Genomic DNA, 24,023 nt, shown 5'->3' with positions numbered 1-24,023 from the left:
AAGAGGAATGTATGGATGTTGAGATGCCATTGTCCTGTTCTTTCATAAAGCAGTGTGTTCTCAAGGGAAGGGTGGTGGGCTTCCATGCAGCTCTCTGGCTAGAAATGTTTTCTGTGTGAGATGCGAACCTGCCCGTGATGGCCAGATGTGGCCTGCACACATTATAACAGGCTCCAGGATCACGCCTTTCAATGAAAGTTTGCATTGGATCCCTTTGTATATCAAATTTAAATGAATTATTCAATGAAAAAAATGTAAAAATATTCTTACAGTGCATAATACATACCAGACACTGTTTTCAGTACAGTGGGAGGGCACAGAGATGACTGACGTGAAAACTCCCCTTGAAAGACTGCCTCTAATGGCCATGGATGCTCAAAACACTCAGGCTGCCAATTTGCAGCATTAAAGAAAAATCTGGTAAGAATACCCGCCCTCAACACACACACTATAAGCATCTGTGACTTAGTGCAAATTTCTAACACGTCTGCAGGTGGATTACAGTAGACATCGTCTTGTCCTCAGAGTGAGTTTCCTGCCTAATTTCATATTTTCAGTGGTATCAACCAGATAATGAGTATTAACCAAATGTCTACTGTGTAGAAGAAATGTATGAGGCAGCACGGAGGATTGAAAGGGGCATAAAATGCTGAAGAAACAGGCAGTGAATGAGTCTCTGTGAGTCCATTTCTATTCTGGTTGGTAAAGAAAGGTGCTAGAGGGGCATTGCTAAGGGGGTAGCATCTTCCCCGGGGCTGGGAGATGTGAAGCGTGGCTGGGATAGTGAACAGCCCAGTGTGCCCAAAAAGAAAGGCTGTGCAAGAGGAAGGTCTAGGCGAACAAAACTCCCATATTATGGAAGGCTGTAACTCACATGCTCAATACTTTTTATTTCCCTCTGAGGAACATTTGCTAACTATTGGTGATTTGGGGGAAGACATGTGATAAAAGGTGGGTTTTAGGAAAGTGAGATATGAGGGAGGTGAACATGAAGGCAAGATTGGTGAATAGAGCTTCAGAGAAAATATTATAGTCAGAATAGAAAGAACTGCCATGTGATCACTGGAATTTGTTAGGAGATACTGTATTTCCTGCAAGATTGGAGACACTGGGATGGCAACCCAGCCTCTGAGTCTCAGTTCATTCATCTTTAAGTTGGGCATGGCAACCCTGCTTATATAGTCAGATTTCATGAGGATTAAATAAATAAGAAAAGCACATTGAAAACAAATATATTACTATCATCCTATAAGAATGCTACATTTTCATTTTTCTATATTTGAGAAATAAATATATGTGTGTTCAATGATGCATCCATTTGTAATGCTCATATTGCTTCCTTTAATTTGGGTCTTAGACATTTTTGTAATTATATACATTGAACTGTGTGGATCATATGTGCAGAGTTCAGCACATGGTCCTAAACCAATCAGAGAAGGAGACTGACCCTGTAAGCTAATGAAGGAGGATAAGATGTCCTCAAGGAACTATCACAGGAGTTGAGGCTGATAAACTTCATAAGGGGTATTCAGCTAACTGCAAAGGATGATTAGAAGAGAATTGATAGCATCCACGTGCTAACAGAATGGAAAAGGGATGAGCAATGTAGAAGCATGGCAAAAAGAGAGTTAATCAACTCCCACATGCTGTGGTCTGACCATGCGCAAGGTGGCATAATATTGCCTACATTTTCAGAGGAATATTGTGAAAATGAATAGGATATTATCTCCAAAACAATTAGAGATGTTTGGACAAAAGCCACCATGAGAAAAATTCAAGTTTATCATTTCTGAAAAGACATTTAAAAACATGTTAGTTTGTAAGGCAAAATACAAGAACAGATTGAACTTAAAAGATGTTATTAGATCCTTTGAGGAGTGAGGTTGAACACCCCATGTAAACAGAAACCATTCATATTACTATTATGGAAAGCTAACAGAGAAAGATGAACAGGATGAAGCCATTTTATTTACTTGTGACAAGAAGAGAAGGCCATTTAATAAGGTGGAACAAAAACACAACATACAATGTCAGGATTTTCTAGAAAAAAGTAGAGAGTTTCTTTTCCTTCAGACAATATGTTACACATATGGCAAGTTTCTTAGCTTGATAAACATCCACAAGTAGATAGCTTGGAGACAGATGGGAGTTTCACGACTTTGTCTTATTAATTTCCTTGCCATTAGACTGAATAACTCATAATTCAGATGATCAACTTGACTTCTGATTCTGAAAATCAACAGAAGGCACCAGGGTAAGTGGCCAAGGCTAGGAATGAAAGTATCTCCATTGCCCTTGGTAACTGCTTGCTGTGGTCAGGAAGTGGTGGTGAAAGCCAAGTCTTGGGATTCCAGAAATGGACACAAGGCTACCGACGGCATCTCCTGGTCATTAAATGTGTGTCATGCACAAAGATTTATAAAAGAAAGAAGAAGAGGGAGAACGGAAGAGTGATGATCTGGTACATAAGGCTTTTTGAACTTCAAAAGAGTCAGAAGAACTAAACAGAAGGGAGAAGAGAACAGTAGAAGAAGGGAAAGCAGTAAAATGTGACTGCTACTTATACAAAACTGAAATTCAATAATTTTGAGGTTTTCACCACCAGAGACTTAATACATGTTAGAAAGGTTACATTCGTAAGTGAAGGCAGAGCCAGCAGCTCTCTCTCCTCACCGCCTCTCATCTCACCCTGCAGGTCTCCTTCTCCTCTCCCATCTCCGGTAGGCGTCAGTGCCCCCTAGACACACCCAAAGCCAGGCCAGGGCCTTCTGCTAATGTAGGTAAGTAACCTCTAACAGAAAATGGGATTCAACTGAGGAGTAAAGATCAACAACCAAAACTTCCATGCCCGTCATCCCAGTCGGTTCAGAGGATGGATTAACCGCTCCAGGTACTGACGCTTTCTGTCCTTTGTGGTGGCGCTGTCCTGTGTAGTGTGGGATGTTCAGCAGCATGGCCAGCCTTTATCCGCTGAAGCCAGTACTGTATCCCCACCCTCACTGGGAGCAACCAAACATCCCCTGGGAGGGAAAATCATCCCAGCTTGAAAACCAGTGTTTTGCATAGGACAGGAAAACAAGTGCTGTGGATAGGAAAAGGTAACCTAATGATTGCAGAATTATTGCCACCTCTGGACCTAGGCAGAATATGACCCATTGTATTTACAGTTGATGGAAGATGTAGACAGGAAAATGTACACTGCATGACTAGGTTTGATTATACAAAAAGTAACAACAAATGCTGGTGTAGTTCCTGGCATTCTAGCTCACAAATCACTTTGATTTGCATTGTCTCATTTAATCCTCATTACACTGTGAAAAGAAATATACAACCTCCAGTTTATGAATGAGAAAACCAAGGCTTGGAGTGATCAAATGATTTGTCTAAGATGTAAGATTTAGCTGGAAAGGGATAGAGACCAGAATCAAACCAAGGCATTCAGACTCCAGACTCTGGGCTGTTTTCACAAATCGTCTCTCATGGTGGGTTGGGTGGGACCAGTGGTCTCCAAGCCAGAACTCACTGAGATGTAGCATCAATAGCAGTAAAGCTCAGAGCTGAAGCATGAGGCATCAGCTACCTTTCAACATCAGCAGGGCTCAGAGGGGATGGGGAAAAGAGGGTGGGAGGGGTCCCCAATCTCTCTACCTGCTCTAGTCTTTCATTGTGAAAGTGATCCTTTGCAGACACAACTCCTCTGTTTTTTTCAGACTTTACATCTGTACCTGATGTTACTGCCTGGAGCTCACCAAATCAAAGGGATGCAGAGAGAAAAATGCTTATATCTGTGCTTACTTTTTTTTTCTTTTGAGAGAGAGTCTCGCTCTGTCGCCCAGGCTGGAGTGCAGTGGCGTGATCTTGGCTCACTGCAACCTCCATCTCCCAGGATCAAGTGATTCTCATGCCTCAGCCTCCTGAGTAGCTGGGATTACAGGCATGCGCCACCATGCCCAACTAATTTTTGTATTTTTAGTAGAGATGGGGTTTCACCATGTTGGCTAGGCTGGTCTCGAACTCCTGACCTCAGGTGATCCACTCACCTCAGCCTCCCAAAGTGCTGGGATTACAGGTATGAGCCACTGAACCCGGCCTGTATTACCTTTAACATCATCCTTTACAATTTTTATTCGTGTGTTTTCATTATGCAAACGTTAGTACTGTAATATACATTACATATTACTAACCCACGTTGTTGCAGTAATATAACTGTGTGTGTGTGTGTGTGTGTGTATGTATGTGTGTGTATGTGTGTTGCTTTTCATGCATAATTTTTTAAACTGATGGAGTGAGTGCATGGTCAGTCAAAAGATTTAAAAACTACTTTTCCCTTTTTTTTTTTTTTTTGTTTTGAGACGGAGTCTCACTCTGTCTCCCAGGTTGAAGTGCAGTGGTGCGATCTCGGTTCACTGCAATCTCTGCCTCCCAGGTTTAAGCTATTCTCCTGCCCCAGACTCCCATGTAGCTGGGATTATAGGCATGCACCACCACACCTGGCTAATTTTTGTATTTTTAGTAGATATGGGGTTTCACCGTGTTGGCCAGGCTGGTCTCAAACTCCTGACCTCAGGACCCACCTCGGCCTCCCAAAGTGCTAGGATTAGAGATGTGAGCCACCGCACCTGGCCTGAAAACTACTTTTCAGAAAAGATTACGCAATTATGAAAAATATCCAGTTGGAAACATCATTCAACTCAAACTCAACAAGTTCCCACACCGACCTCTTGGTCTTTCCTCCCCGTCCCCTCTCAGGATCTCTTTGCCCTGAGTTTCCCACCCACCCATGAGACCCAGCCCTGGCATTGGACGTGGATTCTTCTCTCTGCCTCACCTCCTTGCTGACGTCGCCCAGGCCTGTTGATTTCTCAGCCACACATGGTGACCAAATAGGGCTATCCTTAGAATGGAAGTTTAGTTCAATATCAAAAAAAGTATTATTGTGATTTAACAACTGTATATGTACACACAGAGTAACTACATGAATTGTGTGTTATGCATTGGCAGACATTCTGAGAAGTGGTCTGAAGGCCTTCCTGGGCTGTCCAAGTGCTGCATGGCATAAAGAAGGCCAAGAACTCTGCGCTAAAGCAACAAGCCGACTTCTGATGTTGTTGCTCTGGGATCACAGGAATAATAATATTAATTCATAAGACATCGCATACATATTGTTTCATTTAATCCTCACTACAACGTGTGAAATAAAACCTCTACTTATGCGTTGGAAACCACGAAGCCATGGTGGACACCATCATCAAGCTGAGACACCTTTCCCTTTGTGGTTTGCTAAGAGTTTCCATCATGAGTAGCTGTTGAGGTGTTTTATTTTTATTTTTTTATGAACTTTTTATTTTTTTATAAACTTTTTATTATGGAATAGTATTAGATTTACTAACACTAAGAGTTGCAAAGATAGTACAGAGAGCTCTCTGCATCCCTCACCCAGTTTCTCCAATGTTAATATCTTGTATTAAATCTTGTATTTGTCAAAGCTAAGAAATCAACGTTAACATATTCCTTTTAACTAAGCTTCAGATAGCATTTGGATTTCGCCAGCGTTTCCACCGCTGTCTTCTTTCTGTTTCAGGATTCCACCAGGATACAGCCCTGCATTTAGTTCTCAGGTCTCCAGAGTCTCCTCTGTTCTAGGACGGATTCTTGGTCTTTATTTTTCATGATCTTCAGAGTTTTGAGAAATACTGGCCTGGTATTTTGTAGAATTTCTTCAGTTGGGTTTGTCTGATGAGTTTCTCATCATGAAGTTGGGGTTATGTTTTATGGAGAGAATATCACAGGGTGCAGTGCCCTTCTCAAACCACATAGCAAGGCTCTGGGAACACAGTGATCACGTCCATTCCAAGGACAGTCCTACTTCATCCTGATCTATTAGGATTTTTTAAATATGACAACATGTTACTTAGGATTTTTACAACTATGTTCATATATTTTCTGTCTTTTGCTCACATAAGTTATCCTACCTTCTTCTTCGATTCTTCTTTTTCAGTTCTCTGGAATAGTTTGAGAGAAAGAAATGATATTTAAATACTTAGAAAAAATTGATTGTAAAATGAACTGGGTATGTGACTTCTTTTTGGTGGGGAAGCTTTTGATTACTTATTCATTTTTTTAATGTTTATTGGCTTATTTTGGGTTTCTATTTTTTGGTAATTTATATGTTTCTAGTAAATTATTTCTTTCAACTGAATTCCAAATTCATTTGCATTGATTTATGAATGAGTTACTGTTTACTTGTGACTTTTTTCTTGTGCTCATTCTTGGTGAAACGTGTATTTTATTTGCTATTTCAAAGAACCTGGTTTTGTTTTGCAGATCCTCTTTACCATTTCCTTGACATCTATTTCATGAATGTTTGCTCTTTTGTTTATTTCTGGTTTTGTTGCATTTACCTTGTTGCTCACTTTCTAATTCTTAAATTGAATGGTCTACATTTATTTTCATCCAGTGCTTTAGCTTATGAATTATAAATTCATTTCAAACACTATACTTTTAGTTGTACCTTTTTTAGTTGCTAGAGAATATCATTTAAATAATATAAATTATTTAAATTTGTTGAAATTTTAATCTTCTTCATGGTCAATTTTGTAAATGTTCTAGGAGCATACAAAGGACTATCGCTACTGGGTGCAGAATTCTCTATATGTCAAAACTCACCTGTTAATTTTCTTACTAAAAAATCATCCATATCCTCAATAATTTTTTATTTGATCTGTTAGAGTTATGATCCTTTACTTTGTGGATTTGTCCAGTTTTCTTATCACTTTGTTAGCTTTTACTTTACATGTTTCTGCTATATTGTTAGGATAATACAGGATCATGATTTTTACGTCATTTTGGTGGATTTTGCTTCTTCTTATCCTACGATGCCCCTCTTTTCTCCATTAATGCTTTTTTTTAATCTGATCTTACTATTACTCCTTATGTTTCTTTAGCTTAATATGGATTTTTCATTTTTTTTCTTTAAATCTTTTAGCATGGTTTTAGGTATGGAAATTCCATAGTGATTAAATATTTTTAACTTTCTTCCAGATAAAACAAAGCTTTGGCTGACGACTGAAAACTCCTCTGACATCCTGCCATTGTTGTCTGGAGTGTTAGTTTGGCTTTAAAAAAAAAAAAAACACATACATTACAAAAATCCTATAGTTCATAAGTCTTACTGACATTTTATCAATTTTGGGACTTGCCATTATTTCTGGTATCTCAGTCTTAGCTGTGGGTTTGTTCTTCTTACTAATGTACTCACTTCGGCTGTAATTTTACTTAGAGTTAAGTAGAGTTGGCGAACTCTTTTCATCTTTGTATGTCGGAAATTGTCTTTATTTTACCTTCCCTCTTGGGTGATATCTTAACTGTGTGTAAAATTCTAGGTAGTTGCTTTTGTTTTTTCTCAGCACTCGAGATATCAACCCACTGCCTTGTGTCTCGGGCTGCTGATAATTCCACTGACGATCCAGTGGGTCTTTGTGGCGTCTGCCTTTTCTCTTTGGTGGCCTAAATATTTTCTTGTTGTCTTTAATGTTTTTCAGTTTTATCACACTGTGCTTAGGATACAATTTACATATTTAATCTTTCTCAATTGGAAATACACTTCCAATTCGAAGAGCAGCTTTCAGCTCATTCGTCTCTCCCATCATGATGCCGTTAACCTCCATCCTCCCTGGGCAGCTTCTTATTTTATTTAACCCAATTTATCATTTGTTCTTCTTCAGATTCGTCTGCTCTTGTTTCAAGATTTCTATCCTTTTCAAAAAATAATTTATTTTTACTTTTATGAACTTATCCTATTTATTTCTTTGGATATCTAGCATGATTTCGGGACCTCTCATGCTGTTATAGGAATTTATTTTAATAACAGAATGAACATGTGTTCTAAATTTTTATTGTGTGGGCTGCCTTTTTTTAGCATGGAAATTCTTCATGGGTTATGAAATTTTTTATTTGCAGACTTATTTTAGAAGGAAAAGGGTTTTTCCCCATTTCTTTCACTCCTTCTCAATTGTTGCTCTCTCTTTCCCAGCTAGTAGTTTTGTGGCTGTCTGCACTCAACTCCTAGAGCCTCCAGTCCAGCAGCAGATGGCATTGGCAGCAGATTTTTATTTTATTTCTATTTTCATTTTTAGTGAAAGACTCCACTCTGGCCTCTGCCTCTGAGCAGCAGGCCTGGCCTGGTACTCCACCCCACAGGGAGACTCTCATCCTCTCTACCCCATGGAGGCCAGGCTCTCAGCCACCACGGACTGCTTTTCAACTGAGATCTCAGGAGGCCTGAGGCTTCAGGCCCCCTCACTGCCTACTCTGTTTCTGGCCTAGGGATCTAAGATGTTAATTTAGTCTCTGAGCCCAGGTCTGACTTCCTGGGGTTCTCTGTCGCAATGGTTTATCCATCATTGCTGCGTGCTTCGTACATAGCATGTAAATGTCTATATGCAGCTTGGTCTACGTGTATAGAGCCATCATGGTAAGAGCGAGGCAGCATCATGGAGAGCAGCTGATCATCCTCAAGGGGAGAGACCAGCCTGGGCTGGGTTGACTGGGGAAAGCTTCAAGGAGAGGATGAGAATGGGGCTCGTCCTGGCAGAAGGGACAGTACTTGGATAGGCAAAGAGGAAGGAGTCAACTTTCACAGGCAGGAGCAACAAAGAATAAAGACACAAAGGGGAGAAGCAAGAACATTCAGTTGAGGGACTCCTTAGCAAACGCATCTAGTTAGACTAGAAAGTCTACAAAGAAAATAGTAAAAGACAAGGTTGGGAAAATTGTTGGAACTAGATGATGGACATAGGGATTTCTATTAGGTGGGGGCAGAAGTAACTGCAGTTTTTGTAATTACTTTTAACGGCAATTACTTTGGCAATTGCAATTACTTTAGCACCAACCTAATAGACTAAGGGATTAAGACAGAAAGTAATGGAGAGATGCTGAACTTTTGGTATATAGAAACAAAACAAATAGTTATTGATTAAAAGCTTTCTCTTTTTTTTTGCCAAGCATTGCAGTAAGTGCTTTATGTCAACTGTCTCCTCTGAGCCTCAGGCAACCCTGTGAAACAGATACCCATTAGACAGTGAAAACAACTGAAAATAGACAGATTAAATAATTTCCCTGCAATCACACAGGTTGACCCATGGTCAGAAAGATGTCAGGTCCTAACTCCCAGAACCTATAAATGTACCTTATTAGGATAAGGGTCTTTGCAAATGTGATTAAGTTAAGGATCCTAGGAGAGGATCCTGGCTTACCCAGATGGGCCTTACATTCAATCACAGTGTCCTTATGAGAGGGAAGCAGAGGGGGATTTGGACACAGTGCACAGAAGAGCGGGAGGCAATGTGAAGACGAGGCAGGGACTTGCGTGGTGTGGCCACAAGCCAAGCAATGCTGGTAGCAGTGGAAGCTGGGGGAGGCCAGGAATGGATTCTCTCTGCCCGCAGCTTGCCTTCGGCCCAGTGAAGCTGATGTTGAGCTTCTGGCCTTCAGAACTGTGAGAGAACACATTCTGCAAGCCACCAAGTTTGTGGTCATCTGTTACAGCAGCCACAGGAAACTAATATGGGCAGTGTAGGATGGAGTCAGGATATGGCCGGTCTATATGACTCTAAACTCATGTTCTAACACTCATTTTGGATGACTAGTCTAGAAATGATGTATGGAATGGAACAAAAGACAAAGCTAGAGCAGTGAGGTAATATAGGAAACTCTGACAGTTACCCAAGTACAACCAAGTATTTGAATGCATGTGAATTATAATGAACATTTCAGTTAAATTTTTATTCAGTGTTGCAATGAACAGGTAGGGATAAAGGAGAACATCTCCAAGCAGGGTCTCCAACCCCCAGGTCACAGAGTGGTACAGGTCCACGTTCTGTTAGGAACCAGGCTGCATAGCAGGAGGTGAGCAGTGGGCGAGCACACATTACTGCCTGAGCTCCGCCTCCTGTCAGGTCAGCAGCAGCATCAGATCCTCAGAGGAGCATGAACCCTATTGTGAACTGCGCATGTGAGGGATCTTGGTTTCTTGCTCCTTATGAGAATCTAATGCTTAATGATCTGAGGTGGAGCAGTTTCATCCTGAAACCACCTTCTCCCCTGTTCACTGGAAAAATTGTCCTCCATGAAACTGGTCCCTGGTGCCAAAAAGGTTGGGGACTGCCTCTTCTCGAGTTAATTACCATTCTAGAAGATGGGTTATCACACTGACGGATTGTCCATTTGGGGGCAGAGGTGGCAGATACGCCCCCATGGTTGTGAACAGAGCATTCTGAAACATTCTTCAGGAGCCCATTTGTGACCGTTGTTCTGGTTCTTAAGTTAGAAAAACGTCCAGATCCAAGCTGAGGTGTTAAACAAAACAACATTTAAATTGCTTTATAATGCAGGTAAGTATCACAATGTGTAATTATAAAAACATTACTGTCAAATTGATGACAGGTTTGTAACTCGATTTAAGTTTTCCAAATTTGGAACTTGGATCTGCTAATGCCCCAGGCGGCTCCGACAGGCTCCCCCACTCCTTCTTATGTACTGTCGTTCTGGGCACAGAGCCTCTGAGCCAGGCTCTGAGGCTCAGGTAGAGGAGACTCGGAAGGCTGAGCCGTGGCTTCCTCACCTGTAAAACGGTGAGCTCAGTACCATGCCCCTTGCAGGGCGGTGGTGAGAAGGGAGCATGAGAATATTTGCAGGGAGCCCACTCAGGGCCTGCTCCAAGCTGCAGGGCCCAGGCAGTGCGCGGTGGCGCCAGGCCGGGCTGTGGGGCCAGCTCCTGCCATTCCCCGACGGAGTATCCCGGAGCAGTTTCTCCATCTGTCAAACGTGTCTCTCTTAGGGCTGTGAGGATTAAATGAGTCTACACGGATGCAGCCCCTGGTACCAGTAAGCACTTTAGAAACACCAGCTATTATTGCTGTCACTTGGAGTGCGGCCGGGTGGAGACCGAGCTCCGGATTTGGAGCACGGGGTATTAGGGAGTACTGACGGTGTTCTCGAGAGCCAGGGGAGGTTTGGGGGGATGGAGAAAGGATCGGAGAGCTCGCCCTGTTCTTGTCGCTTGGGAAATCCTGGCGCTCCTCTTTGAATGGATGGAGTTCTGAGGATTTTGGTGGGTTTGTTCAGCACTGCCTCAGCATAAGCCTGGATCTTTATTTTGTTTAAAATGCCGGAGGAATAAAACGATGCCGAGGACTGGCAAGCGAACAATAAAGCAGGGCAGGGAGTTGCAGTGTTGGGAATATATTCAAAAAGGGAAAATCTAGTATGGTCAATGCACACATTGTAGGTCATGGATAATGATGAAATTTAAATTCATCTCCAAAGTCTGTGTGACATTGGAAAGAATGGGGAGACTTACGAATGAGGCATCGGCAGCTTCCATAAAACAGAGTTCATTAAACAACTGTGATTTCAGACATGGACTGTGATAGATAAGGCTTCTCCAGACAAAACGCCTATTTCATGTTTCAAAAATACTGCTAGTTGCAAAGCTATCACAAAATCTCTGTGCTTATTTTTATATCTCAGAATAGTTAAAGTAAAAAATGCATTTGCAAACATGGCTGTAAATAGGAGTTCCGTTTAAACTATTCATCTTTTGAAACAGTGGTGCATCCAAAGTGTTTATATTTGAGGAATCTACTAGAACCCAGAATCTTTCTATGTTGTTAACGCATTTAGTATGCATTTACAATGAAAACAAAACAGGAACATTTCCAATCTATTCAAGATATTTTTATTCATCGCATATGATTCTCTTTAGAAAGTATTTAGTTGAATAAATTATTCAAAACCAAGTGTATAGATTGGCATAAAATGGATTTTGCATTAGTTCATTCAGTAATCCCTAAATTGGCAAAAAATCAAGGTGTAGTACAACAGTTTCCGTTATAACTATGAATAAATTTAAGAGATTATGTTACAGAGGAAATCTAAGGACTGTAGTAAACAGCAAAGTGTTTTCAAAAAATGAACCCTGAAACTAACGAAAGCTGTGCAAATCTTTATGGAAAAAATTTAAAAACATGAATGAAGTATAAAAAATTCTAAATTAATGGAGATATGCACTTTGTTTCTGAAGGGAAAATTCAATCTCTTAAACGTGGAAATTTCCCATAAACTAATCTGTAAATCTAAGCAATTCCAAAAAATAATTCCAGCAAGATTTTTAAAATGGATCTTGACAAGTTGATCTTCAAATTCAAATAGAAACACAAAGGTTTAAGAACAGACCAGATAATTTCGAAGGAGATGGAGGGACTGTATACCTGCAGTGGGTAAAACAAGAAAAGCAGAAAACACATGCACAAAGGGAAACTTCACATCAGAGAGAGGCAGAGCAGGGAGTTAGGGTGATGCTGTCAATAATTGAGATTGGGACAATGACACTACTATGTCAGGGAATGGAGGGTTGTCTTAATCAAGGTACAAAAATCCGAAATCACAAAGAGAGGATTTTGATGAATCTAATGACATTAAACTTAGAATCTTATTTTTGTAAAAGACCGAATAAATAGGCACAAAAACTAAAGTCTGCAAACACATATGACCAAACAGTAGTATTCATAATGAATAAAATACCACAAATTGATAAAAAGTAGATACATAACCCAGAAAAAAATGAACAAAGCATTGAAATAGGCAATTTTTAGAAAAGAAACTTGATTAATACAAGAAAAGATGCTCAACTTCACTAGTCATTGGGAAAAATGCAAATTTAAAGATACATCTTGCACTTCTGTGTTTAACAAGGATTCAGATGTTGGGCATTTACAAGCGTCAGCCGGCTTGTCGAGCGATGCACCTCACACACTGCCTCTGGGCTTGTAGATCGGAGAGCCATTTGGCCACATGTAGAAAAGGTAAAGATATGATGCACATAACTTTCAGCCCAGCATTTCTACTTCTAGGTATTTACCTTAAAATCACTCCAGCTCACATATACTAAGAGAAATGCGGAAGAAGATTTCCCGAATCATTGTTTATAATAAAGAGAAAGGAGAAACATTTAAAATGACAATCAAATAAATGGATAAATTGGGGTATATTTATGCAATTACACTAGTTAGTTATTAAAATGACTTAACTAAGGCTGGGTGCTGTGGCTCATGCCTGGAATCCCAGCACTTTGGGACACCAAGGCAGGTGGATCACGAGGTCAGGAGCTCAAGATCAGCCTGGCCAATATGGTGAAACCCCGTCTCTACTAAAAATACAAAAATTAGCCAGGCATGGTGGCGTGTGCCTGTAGTCCCAGCTACTTGGGAGGCTGAGGCAGGAGAATCGCTTGAACCGAGGAGGTGGAGGCTGCAGTGAGCCGAGATTGTGCCACTGTACTCCAGCCCAGGCAACAGAACGAGACTCTGTCTAAAATTAAAAAAAAAAAAAAAATGACTTAACTAGAATCACATGTAGAAATACAGATCTCAAAGTAATAATGATGCATAAGAAAGCGTGTTGAAGAATGATATGTACAGTATTATTATACTGTTCTTTATCAAATTCACAACGTGAAAAATGTATTGTTTCTAGTTACAGATATATATACTGAGAGTAAAAAAGTATGCGTGTGAATGATAAAGAATGATTTCAGGAAACTCATCACCTCAGAGTAGGGAGGAGAGGTCAAATAAGTACAGGAGGGGTCCACAGGTGGTGTCGGTGTTATTCGAAATGTTTTTTTCCCCTTAAGAATCTTGTGAAGCAAATGTGGAAAAACTGTTGAGATTTGATAAAGTTGATTGGTAGGTACACAGGGATTCATAGATCAGTCTCAATGTTTTTCTGGATGTTTGAAATATTTAAAAACATATATTAGTCCATTAGTAGTAGTAGTTGTTAGGTAGGTATTAGGGAAAAGAATGTGATGTGCTACAATTCCAGGAATTGAAGCTTTCCCCCTGTTATTTTACATTTTTCTGAAATTTGGATGCACCTTCCAATTAAGATGTACATTAATAGAGTATTTTTTTCCCCTTAAAAGCCATTACAAAATTGACGGCATGTCCTACAGTTCTTGCTGCTGTAGACATCAGTGTTGGTCTGTGGTATCCTTCCTCTAAATATGTGTCTTTTAGTATAGAACTTTAGTATAGTACAGAACATGAAGTTGCTTGAGGCCCTGCACTTAGAAGGGCTCTATGCGTGGCTTAAGTCTCTTCAACGCCCATTGGAGACAGAATTTTGGTGAACCCACAGTGTGCAGGGGTCAAGGTAAATGTGTGACATCTCCTACTGAGTAAGCAGGGGTACTTACAGCCCCGAGACGCCAAACTTTTCGTTTGAACCAGAACTTGCTTTGAATGCAGAAAGAAGGCAATGGCATTCTAAGAAACATAGTGACCAATGAACCCTATCATATCCTTTCTTACTCCTGTGCTTTTCTTGTTGGAGCCAGCAACTGAAGCAGGAAATGATGACATGGAACGGAAGGGAAAGATAGGGGACCCCATAGTTCTTTCCCTTTCCATTCTTCCTTATTCATCAGTAAACTGAAGGTAGAATGTTGGTAGAATGTGCGAGTCTCAAGAAGTGAAATAAAAACAAGTGAATTGGTTTTATGCGACATGTCTGCTGTTCTTGCAAGAACAAAGTGTATATGCACATATATAAGTTACGAAATTCAAATTGTGTAGTTAGTTTCAGTGATTGCACGTATGAGTTAGACCCTGTTTTAAATGTTTACGTTTAAAATTGGAATTGCACAATATTAAGATGAACGGTAAAATTCATGCCAATATTTAAATGTTTAATTTTTCTTAGAATGCAGCTAAATAGCAAGTAAAAAACACTATGGCAAATTGAGAGACTGGGGAAGAAAGATAAAAGCTTTATATTTTAGTTTGTAACATTGCTTTCCTGCTTTTGAATCAAGAGCTCCACATTTCCATTTTGCACCGGGCTCGACAGCTTCGCAGCCCAGCCCTGCTTTATAGGCAAGACATACAGCATCTCTTTGCTTGTGGCACAGACTCCGTGGACAGGCAGAAAGAGAAATACGTCTCCTGCCAAGAGAATGAAGCTGGAAAATGAAGTTGGGTAATAGGCTCCTCTCTAGGGGTGTTCTAATAACATATTCCCCACAAATGATCTACTTCTGTTTTAGGAAGATTTAGCATGAATCAGACTTCTTTTGCTTGGGGATTATACACAAAAAGTCAACTAATTATTCTTCTCTTCCATGATAAACATCAGGTACACATTTCTCCTTGATGCAGAGACTTGTAGTTATTGATTAAAATTCAGTTCCACTTATTCTTGAGTGTTTGATGAACTACATTTCCCAGATTCCTGCGCAGTGAGGTGTGGTCATGTGACTGAGTTCTAGCCAATGGAAGAAGTATAAGTGATACATACTCCTTCCAGACCTGGCCTATTAAAACCTCCTCCACAACATCAACCTTGTGACTAGAATCATGAGGCCACATGTCCCTACAACTGCATGGAGCAAATCCTTCTTCTCCCAAGTCATCTGCACCTGACCAATACTGGCCTATTAACCTGAAAAATAAATCAACTTACTGATTCTTAAGCCACTGAAATTTGGTAGTATATTCTGTTACTTTGGTATAGTCTAGCTTAACCTAACTCATACACTGTAAATATCATGTGGACAAAAGCAGCCAATAAAAATTTCCTAGAAATTACTCTCCCTAATTCCCATGACTTTTCTTCTTTACTAATTCTTGGGAACACCTTTTAAAATTATATTTTTCTAGTGCACATCCAATTGATGTTATTTGAAGTCCATTTGGAAGTGAAATAAAGCTTTTGTCCCCACTTGCAGGAATCTAAATTGCTATTAAATATAAGTAAGAATTATTTAGGTATTTTTCTTCTGGATTTAATAAGTGCCATTAAGAGCTCAAAATTAATTCATGAGTTGAGTATAGCTCCTACTGAGGAGGTACAGAAGTGGGTTATGTCTCAGGGTCTTTTCCTGGCTCTGTGGATCACATGCTTGTAACTGTCATGGTCTGTGTTTCTGCTCTAAGCAGGACTGCCGACAGCTTCACTGGGCTATGACTAGGCTGTATTAACCACAGGGCACGCACAAATTGCTCAAAGATTCTTAGAGGAAATGGATATAGAAAGAATCACATTCTGGGTGTCATATTTCAAGTAGAAGTTGGGAATCAAAAGGGAAACTTGTTCTCCTTCACCTTATCAATAATGATTCCTGGCACTCAAGTTTGGATTCTTCTTTACTTCCTTGCAAGAGATCATCTTATGGTGCTAGGACTAGCAAGTTTGTTCTGTTTCTTAAAAAGGTGATTGATTAAATTTACTGATGAGTAAATTCAAAGGAATGCTATTAAAAAGTCATGTTAAATAAAATATGTATTTATTAGATTTCTAGTAAGTGGCATAAATAAAACCAGCCAATCTTGTCAAAACAAATTTTTTCATCTTAAATAAAATAAATCTTATTTTCAGATCCACAGATATTTAACTTCATGAGCATATTAAAATTAATATATAGTAAGCTAGTATTATAATGAATGTATTACTTACATTCAGCTAGACAAACCAAATCACATCTTTCTGAAATAACACCACATGCAGTCAAAGCTGCACACAAATGGCTACGCAGTAGTTTGAAGATGAGCCATGTTACTTATGACTAAGTTTGGGTCTTTTAAAATAAAATTAATGTGATATAGTAAATGAATAAATGAAAACATTCAACACGTGCCTATTGAACGCATTTTATGGGTAAAGTATTGTGGTAGGGGTTATGCAAGGGAATGGGAGGGTTTTCAAAAAATAAGTCAAAGTTTAACGACCCTTGTGTAGAATTTTACACATCTAATAGCACGCTCACGTCTTAGCCCGTTTGATCCCTGCAACACTCTTCGGTGGTGAGGGAGGTAGGATCGCTCCGATTCACAGCTGAGGGCTCTTAACATTCAACAGCTGCCATGTTAGTTTCTTACAGCTGTTGTAACGTACCACAAACCTGGTGACTTAAAACATACCACAAACCTGGTGACTAAAAACAAGTGTCTCATAGTGTAAAATCAAGGGCTCAACAGGGCCACCCTTTCTGACGGCTTTAAGAGAAGAATTTGTTTTATGCGCCTCTCCAAATTCTGGTAGTTGCCAGCAATCCTTAGCATTTCTTGGCTTGAAGCTGCATCGGCCCCCTCTCTGCGTCCATCTTCACGGGGCATTCTTCCCTGTGTGTGACTGTCTTCATGTCATCTTCCCTCTGTGTGTGACTGTAACTTCTCTTCTTCTTTTTTTTTTTTTTTTTTTTTTGTTTGAGACAGAGTCTCGCTCTGTCGCCCAGGCTGGAGTGAGTGCAGTGGCGTGATCTGGGCTCACTGCAAGCTACGCCTCCCGGGTTCACGCCATCCTCCCGCCTCAGCCTCCCGAGTAGCTGGGACTACAGGCGCCCGCCACCACGCCCGGATAATTTTTTGTATTTTTTAGTAGAGACGGGGTTTCACCCTGTTAGCCAGGATGGTCTCGATCTCCTGACCTCGTGATCCACCCGCCTCGGCCTCCCAAAGTGCTGGGATTACAGGCTTGAGCCACTGCGCCCGGCCGACTGTACCTTCTCTTCTTAAGAGGACACCAGTTGTATTGGAATTAGGACACACTCGACTCCAGTAGGACCTTATCTTAACTAATTACACAATCCTATTTCCAAAGAAGGTCACACTCTGAGATTCTGGGAAGGACATGGATCTTGCGGGGAGACTTTTCAACTCAGTACACCCACCTGCAGTGCTTCTGGCCCAGTAACGTTTCCCTAACTGCTCCTGGGCCAGATCAGACACAACCCCAGGCAAAGGACCCGCTAAGTGCAAAGGTGCTCTCAGTCCATGGACCTGCTTGCTGAGCCTGGCAAGAGCAGGGCTTGTAGGAGGAGGATTAGGTATGGGGGAGAGGCCCAGTAGTGGGAGATGATGCTAGAAGGGCACGTTGTGCCCAAAGTGGGAAAAATCTTTGAAAATCACTGATAAAGTCTTGACATTATTGTGCAGGGTCATTGAAGGGTTTTGCACAGAAAAGTGGTGGAGGTGCTGTGGTCAGATGCTTCCAAAGACTGGCTAAGAGCTTGTTCATGTACCTGAAGTTAAAGGTGACACACATTCAAAATAGGGTACCAGAAAAGAAAGTAGGAAAGAAAGGAAAGAATAATGACATAGGAAGGGCAAAGTGGGGAAAAATTAGTTCCTGACTTAAGGCCAAGGGAGGAGAAAAAATAAAGTGAAATAGCCAGACGTTGGGCATAGAAGACCAGGAGAAAGGAGGGTTCTCCGGACAGACACAGGGAAGCTGGGTGTGACATCCAATGCAGTTTGCTAACATTGTTCAGCATCCTCCACCCCCAAAGGTGCTCAGTGCAGCCACCTTCATTCCAGTGGGATACACATAGTCAAGGCACACATAGGACTAAGCGGCTTTGTGGTTATATAAGTGACTATGCAGCCCTGTTTTCTTCATTGTTCCCTCATTCCTTATCTAAGACAATGCTTATTTTGCCTTTGCCATTTCTCCTTTTACTTCTTTTGTCCCACTATGTCCCCAGGAACCATAAGAGACACATGAGGTACACTTTTCTTTGGAAGGCTTCCTTTGCCAGATTGGTGTTAATCTCTCCATCTTTCTCTTTGATTCCTTAATTTTCTGGAATGATCCACCCCTTCTAATCTTGTTATTTTTCCAAATAAGCTCTTATAATTTGCCAAGCACTGTTTTAAGCATTCTGTAAATATAAACCCATTTAATCCTCACAGCCAAAACTACTGTTACCCTTATGATGTAGATGAGGAAACTGAGGGAGGAAACTGAGTGTGAGGTAGGAAGGAAACTGAGTGTGAGGTTGGATACCTTGGCCAAGGATGTACAGTCGGAAAGAGGTGGAGTCCGTGCTCCTAACCACTGCCACGCTGCCCTGTGATCAGTAGGAAGATGGAGGCTGCTGATCAGGAGGACAGTGTTTGCTTACCTCAAAAACCTGGGCGGCCACTGGACACAGAGTACTGTGTCACCTCTAATCATAAGAAAACAAGGAACACGCTCAACATTGAAATGTAGGCACTGTCTAGAGTGGATGACATGTAAGTAATAGAACGACTCTTGACGGAATGTGAGACTGGGGTGTTTGTGCCCTGATGGTGAGGGCTGCAGTCTCATTCCTTCGTCTCTCACCTGGTCATCTTTTTGCCCAGTGGCAGGTACTCAGGTACTGTACATGCCATCTCATGGATGAAGTCACAAGAAACCTGGGCACCTAAAAAACGACAATGTCCTGTGACGGGACTAAATCTGCCTCCAAAATCATTGACATAATATCAAAGCAGGGGTTCTGGAATTTGAATGCATGTTCAAATCGCGCTCAAATTGTTTAAATGCAAATTCCAGACCCTTCCCCAACTTCCCCCCCATTCTCATTTAAGGAATGAATGAGAATCGTGGGGCCTAGGAAGCTCTACTTGTAAATGAGAACAGTGATTCTAACCCAGTGTGTACATGGACACATTTTAAGAAACTGTTAGAGCCTGAGCTACCACAATCATCAATGGGTTTTAGGTGTTTTCCTCAATATTTTGAGTTATTTTTAAAATATTGAGAATTCTCTTATACTTAACATTTAACACATACCACCTAGGTTTCTACCAAAAAAAACAGATGGATGAGATATATATCAAATCAAATTTTGTCACTGGGCTTTTTTATTATACGTTCTTTAGAATATATGTAAGGAGCAGTTACTTCTGGAAACTTGATGATATGGAGCAAAAATAGCTTACTGAGCGGTAAATGGATTCCAAATCTTTATTTAGTTGGAAACTTTCCCATTAGCTATCAATTTTGGGTGAGTTGTTCTATGCATAATATGTACACAGTTTTGGCTAAATGACAGTCTGAGATCTTGTCCATGATCATCCTAATGGCATGCATCAGGCAAATCAGGCACAATTCTGTGTGAACAATCTGCCAGTGTTTTAAAGCCTCTGAGGCTGAGTATCACTGCACTAACCACTTTAGCTTCCATTTCAGCAGTAAATTAAGTTATATAACTTGCATGAATATAGCTCAATTTTTAAAAAAGCTCAGCCTACAGACAAGAGAAATGACAAAGGCATCCTAAATTCATTTTCTACATGATAGACATCTCTAATGGAGCCTATCAGTTTCCATCAGAATACCAGACCTTACACAGCCAGACTGCAGCAGCGGCCCTGGTTGAAGGTATTTGTATTTCGTTTCCTAATATACTTAGTGCCTTTAAGTAATCAAGTTTTCTCCTGCTCAGCTACTTCTGACTAGAACTAAATTATGATTCTTTAGGAGGATGCTTAAACTCATTTTCCATTTACAACTGAGGGCAATTTCTCAGCCCTGCTTCTTGTTCCAAAGAAAGCCTAGATTAATATCCTGAGAATTAAGCTTTTGCTGTACTTCCTCAATTTCATCCAATTTTAAGTGGCTTTCCTGAGTAGAGAGAATCATCTTCTTCAATAATCTCACCAATTTTGGTATTTTAAAACAATTACACTTTAAATTTAAAAATCTTCTGGAAATTGGAAATTTTGAAGCTGTTTGAAAAATAATAAACCACAATCAAGGAACAAAGAAATACCTTTAAAAATACATAGTACATATTCTAAAGTTCATGTTATGAGATGGATTACAAAAACAAGTGAGACATATTAAAATATATATTTCTGCCAAACAAAAGATATAATATTTCCACTGGATCTGTTAATTTATAAATAATCAGCAGGCTGTCATCAGGCTAAACTGTGCACTCTGAGCTACAAGCATGTGTGGAAGTTATGGCACATTGTGTCCTGATGACATGGTGAGACTCAAATGACAAGACTTTACGATAAACTATTTCTGTAAATGTAAAGATAAAGACTTCTTCATATATGACAGAGAGCATACACACTTTTCTATGTCAAGCATTTTGCAACTTCAGTGTCATGACTAACCTAATTCTATAGCCCAGGAAGGGGAAACTAATAAGAATTAATCCAATTGAGGGTGTGCAGTTATAAGGCGACCTGAAGATTCTTATTTAACAATAGTGAATGTGAAGGACACACTTGTGCGGCAGACCTAGAGACAAGCAGTGGACAAAACAGACAAGTCTGTCCTTCATGGGGCTTCAAGTCTCAGCAGAAGGAAGCTACAGCTTGTTCTCTCTCCATGGCAATATTAACTGACAAAATACCCATTAAAAGCACAGGCTATTTTCCATAAGTGGCATGAAAAGGCTTAAGCAGGAATAGGCCGAGGCAATTTGTCCTTTAAACTTCACAATTTGACAAAATGTCATAATTGAAACAATACTTGTCTGAAATATGATGCCTTCGAGAAAAGTTTCTGTTTTTCTTTTTGCACCCTCCAGGAGAAAGAGTCAGAGCTGGGCAGAGCTCTGGAAATGACGCCACTTTTGTTAAATGTTAGAAATGGCACTTGCCACTTCATTGACCCTGTTGGCATTCATTTACATAGTCTCATAAAAAAACTGAAGGCACTATTAGGGCTAAAGTCTGACAACTCCTCAGAGTTGTACGTGTGTAATTGATGCTACGTAGTCAGTTCCCAGCTACTTAGCGATGAAGAGCTGGGGTGAGAGATGGGGAGGGGCTCAAGAGCACTTGACCTGTGTTTCCACCCTCCCTCCAGTGGCATCTGACCTGGCCAGCAGTGCTACCTGGGTGCCTGGATAGACTCCCCTTCGGGTCAACACCTGCCAGCAGCTCAGAGCTGAGCAAAACAAGAAGAAATGTGAACACCATGGGCCTTGTGGATTTACAGCACCTTTATTTTCTTTCCCTGTCTATCTGGGTCTGTGGCATTTTGCTTTCATAATTATTCTGGGTTTTTATTTTTAAAAATCTAAATATATTCACTCTTAATAGGAAAGGTTTATATGAGGTTATTTGATTTTCACCTCTGCAGTGCCCTTTCAGATTCTTTCGCCATTGCTTTCTTTGCACGTTGTATTTTAATTTAATTGAGTATGTGTAAAAGGAAGGTGAAGCTTGAAACACTGGGTGTCAGAGAGACAGAGAGAATTATTGTGACCTGTCTCAACCGCATTTGCTCTGTTCCTTTTGTAAATGCCCTCATAAATACCAAAGACAATCTTGGTTTCAATGTTGTGTAAAAATAAAATGCCATAGAAATTAGTTCTGTGAAATGAACAGAAGTGGGAAGGCTCATCTAGGGGGATTAATGTATTCAACAGGTGTTCCATGGGTGGTTCTAGTGTTTGGTCTCAAGGTCAGCCATTCCAGCAAAAGGTGAAAGGCCTGATTCAGAGGTTAATGAGACAATTCTTTGCATATGCTACTGAGTGAAATTGAACGCCATTGTATTTTGGTATCTTATAAATGAAAGCGTCATTTGGCATACTTTGTTTGAAATAAAAATTTATCATCCCAGCAATCCCCTGACCCCCAAAGAATCATCACAGTTAGGTGCCTGTTCGTCCAATCTTTTTCCTATGCTGTTACTAGGATATACGTAAGTGTTTTTGTATGTATATACACACGTACAGACACACAGACCATCTGTCAGATAAATGTAGACAGCTCATTTTGATCTGCAATGTGTAAGTGTTTGTATGTATATGTGCATGTTTTATGTTACAATAAACTGTGCTCCTTTTTCCTAAGGCAGAACATATGTATCATTTGATTAAAATGCTGCACAGAAATATTTACTATTTCAGAAAATTCAGAAATTCTTACTATTTTGACATCTGTGTTGTTATTTCTTGTGGGATAGTTTCCTAGGAGTAGAGTTTAGGGGTTGAATGGTATACACACTTAGTATTAAAAGAAAGCTAATTATCTTTCAAAAACATCATGCTTATTTGCCTTCTCATCAACTGTTAACAAGAATGTCCATTTCCTTGGAATTTCATAAAAACTGGAGGTTATATTTCATAGCGGTTTGAATTTACTGTTAATGAGGTAGCTCATTTCTTCATTGTTTTTGACTATGCTTCTTTTCTGAATTGCTGTTTCTATTGAGTTGTGTGTCTTTTTCTTATAGCTATTTAGGGGTCTTTCATAGGTCTGGGCATTAAGCCTTTACTGTTGCATGTGTTGAGATTATGTTGTTCCAATTTGCCGTTTGCTGTGCAGCTCTATATTGAGTTTTTTCACTGTATGTGAGTTTTAAGTTTATATTATATAGTCAGACCCATCAATCTTTTCCTTATACTTCCTAGAACCTGTTCTGTGGTTGAAAATGGCTTCCTCACTCTGAAATTATTTAACAAAATTATATTTTCTTCTAGTACTTTTATAGATTTAATATTTTTACACCTAAATCTTTAAACATCCTTAAAAGTATCTGGAGACTGCTATGAGACATACCTCCTGACTTTATTTTCTTCTAAATGGAGAATCAATTAACTCAATTTCATTTAATAAATAATCTAGTCTTTCCTTGCTGATTTAAAATATCACCTTTATTGAATTTCTACATTCCCACATACACTCTTGGAGTTTTTTCTGAACGCTCTACTGTTTTCTTATGACTTATCCTTCCGTTGCACAATTGCATTGCTTTGTTTGGAGTAGGGCAAATCCTTTTCACTTCTTTATTTTTTCCTCTCTTATAATTCCAAATATTTATTTGCTATATTTTCATGAGACTGTAATTCATGAGATTATACATTTTGAAGGATGTGAAAGACGTTTTAAAAGTTTACATGATGCCTATATATAGGGGATTATTTTTGACTGCCAGAATAACAGTTTTTCAAAATTTACAGCCATATTAATTACAGAGCCTACATGGGGCAATGCAAAGTGCACCCTCCAGCTGTACGGCCTCTCGAAGGTGCCAGCATGCAAGATGCCCTTGGCTTCCCCACTGGTGCCGAACTGCAGCCTCTTCCTTCCTTTGACTCTACGGCACTGCTCCAGCTGGTGTTCTTGTGTGGAATCCCATTCCTGGGGAAATGCTGGACATTTCTTCATAAAATCAGAGGCTCTTTCCTAACCTCCTCAGCCTCTTTTCCAAAAAGTTCTTAAGAA

General features: G+C 40.0%; 1 protein-coding gene across 8 annotated transcripts in view; it reads right to left on the bottom strand.

Moving 5' to 3' along the window:
- Positions 1 to 24,023, bottom strand: part of PACRG (parkin coregulated) — a 588,369-nt gene that overhangs the window by 166,923 nt on the left and 397,423 nt on the right. Inside the window, exon 5 of one of the 8 annotated variants that reach the window (XM_006715344.5) lies at positions 23,431 to 24,015. The exons of the other annotated variants lie outside the window; for them this stretch is intronic. Coding sequence (XP_006715407.1) covers positions 23,963 to 24,015 — 53 coding nt within the window. The 3' untranslated portion in view covers positions 23,431 to 23,962. Of the gene's footprint in view, positions 1 to 23,430; positions 24,016 to 24,023 lie in introns of those variants that run through there. 8 annotated transcript variants of the gene reach the window in all.

This window comes from Homo sapiens, chromosome 6 (genome assembly GCF_000001405.40).
Source record: "Homo sapiens chromosome 6, GRCh38.p14 Primary Assembly".
Classification (NCBI taxonomy): domain Eukaryota; kingdom Metazoa; phylum Chordata; class Mammalia; order Primates; family Hominidae; genus Homo; species Homo sapiens.
This window is presented reverse-complemented; position numbering and strand designations above follow the sequence as displayed.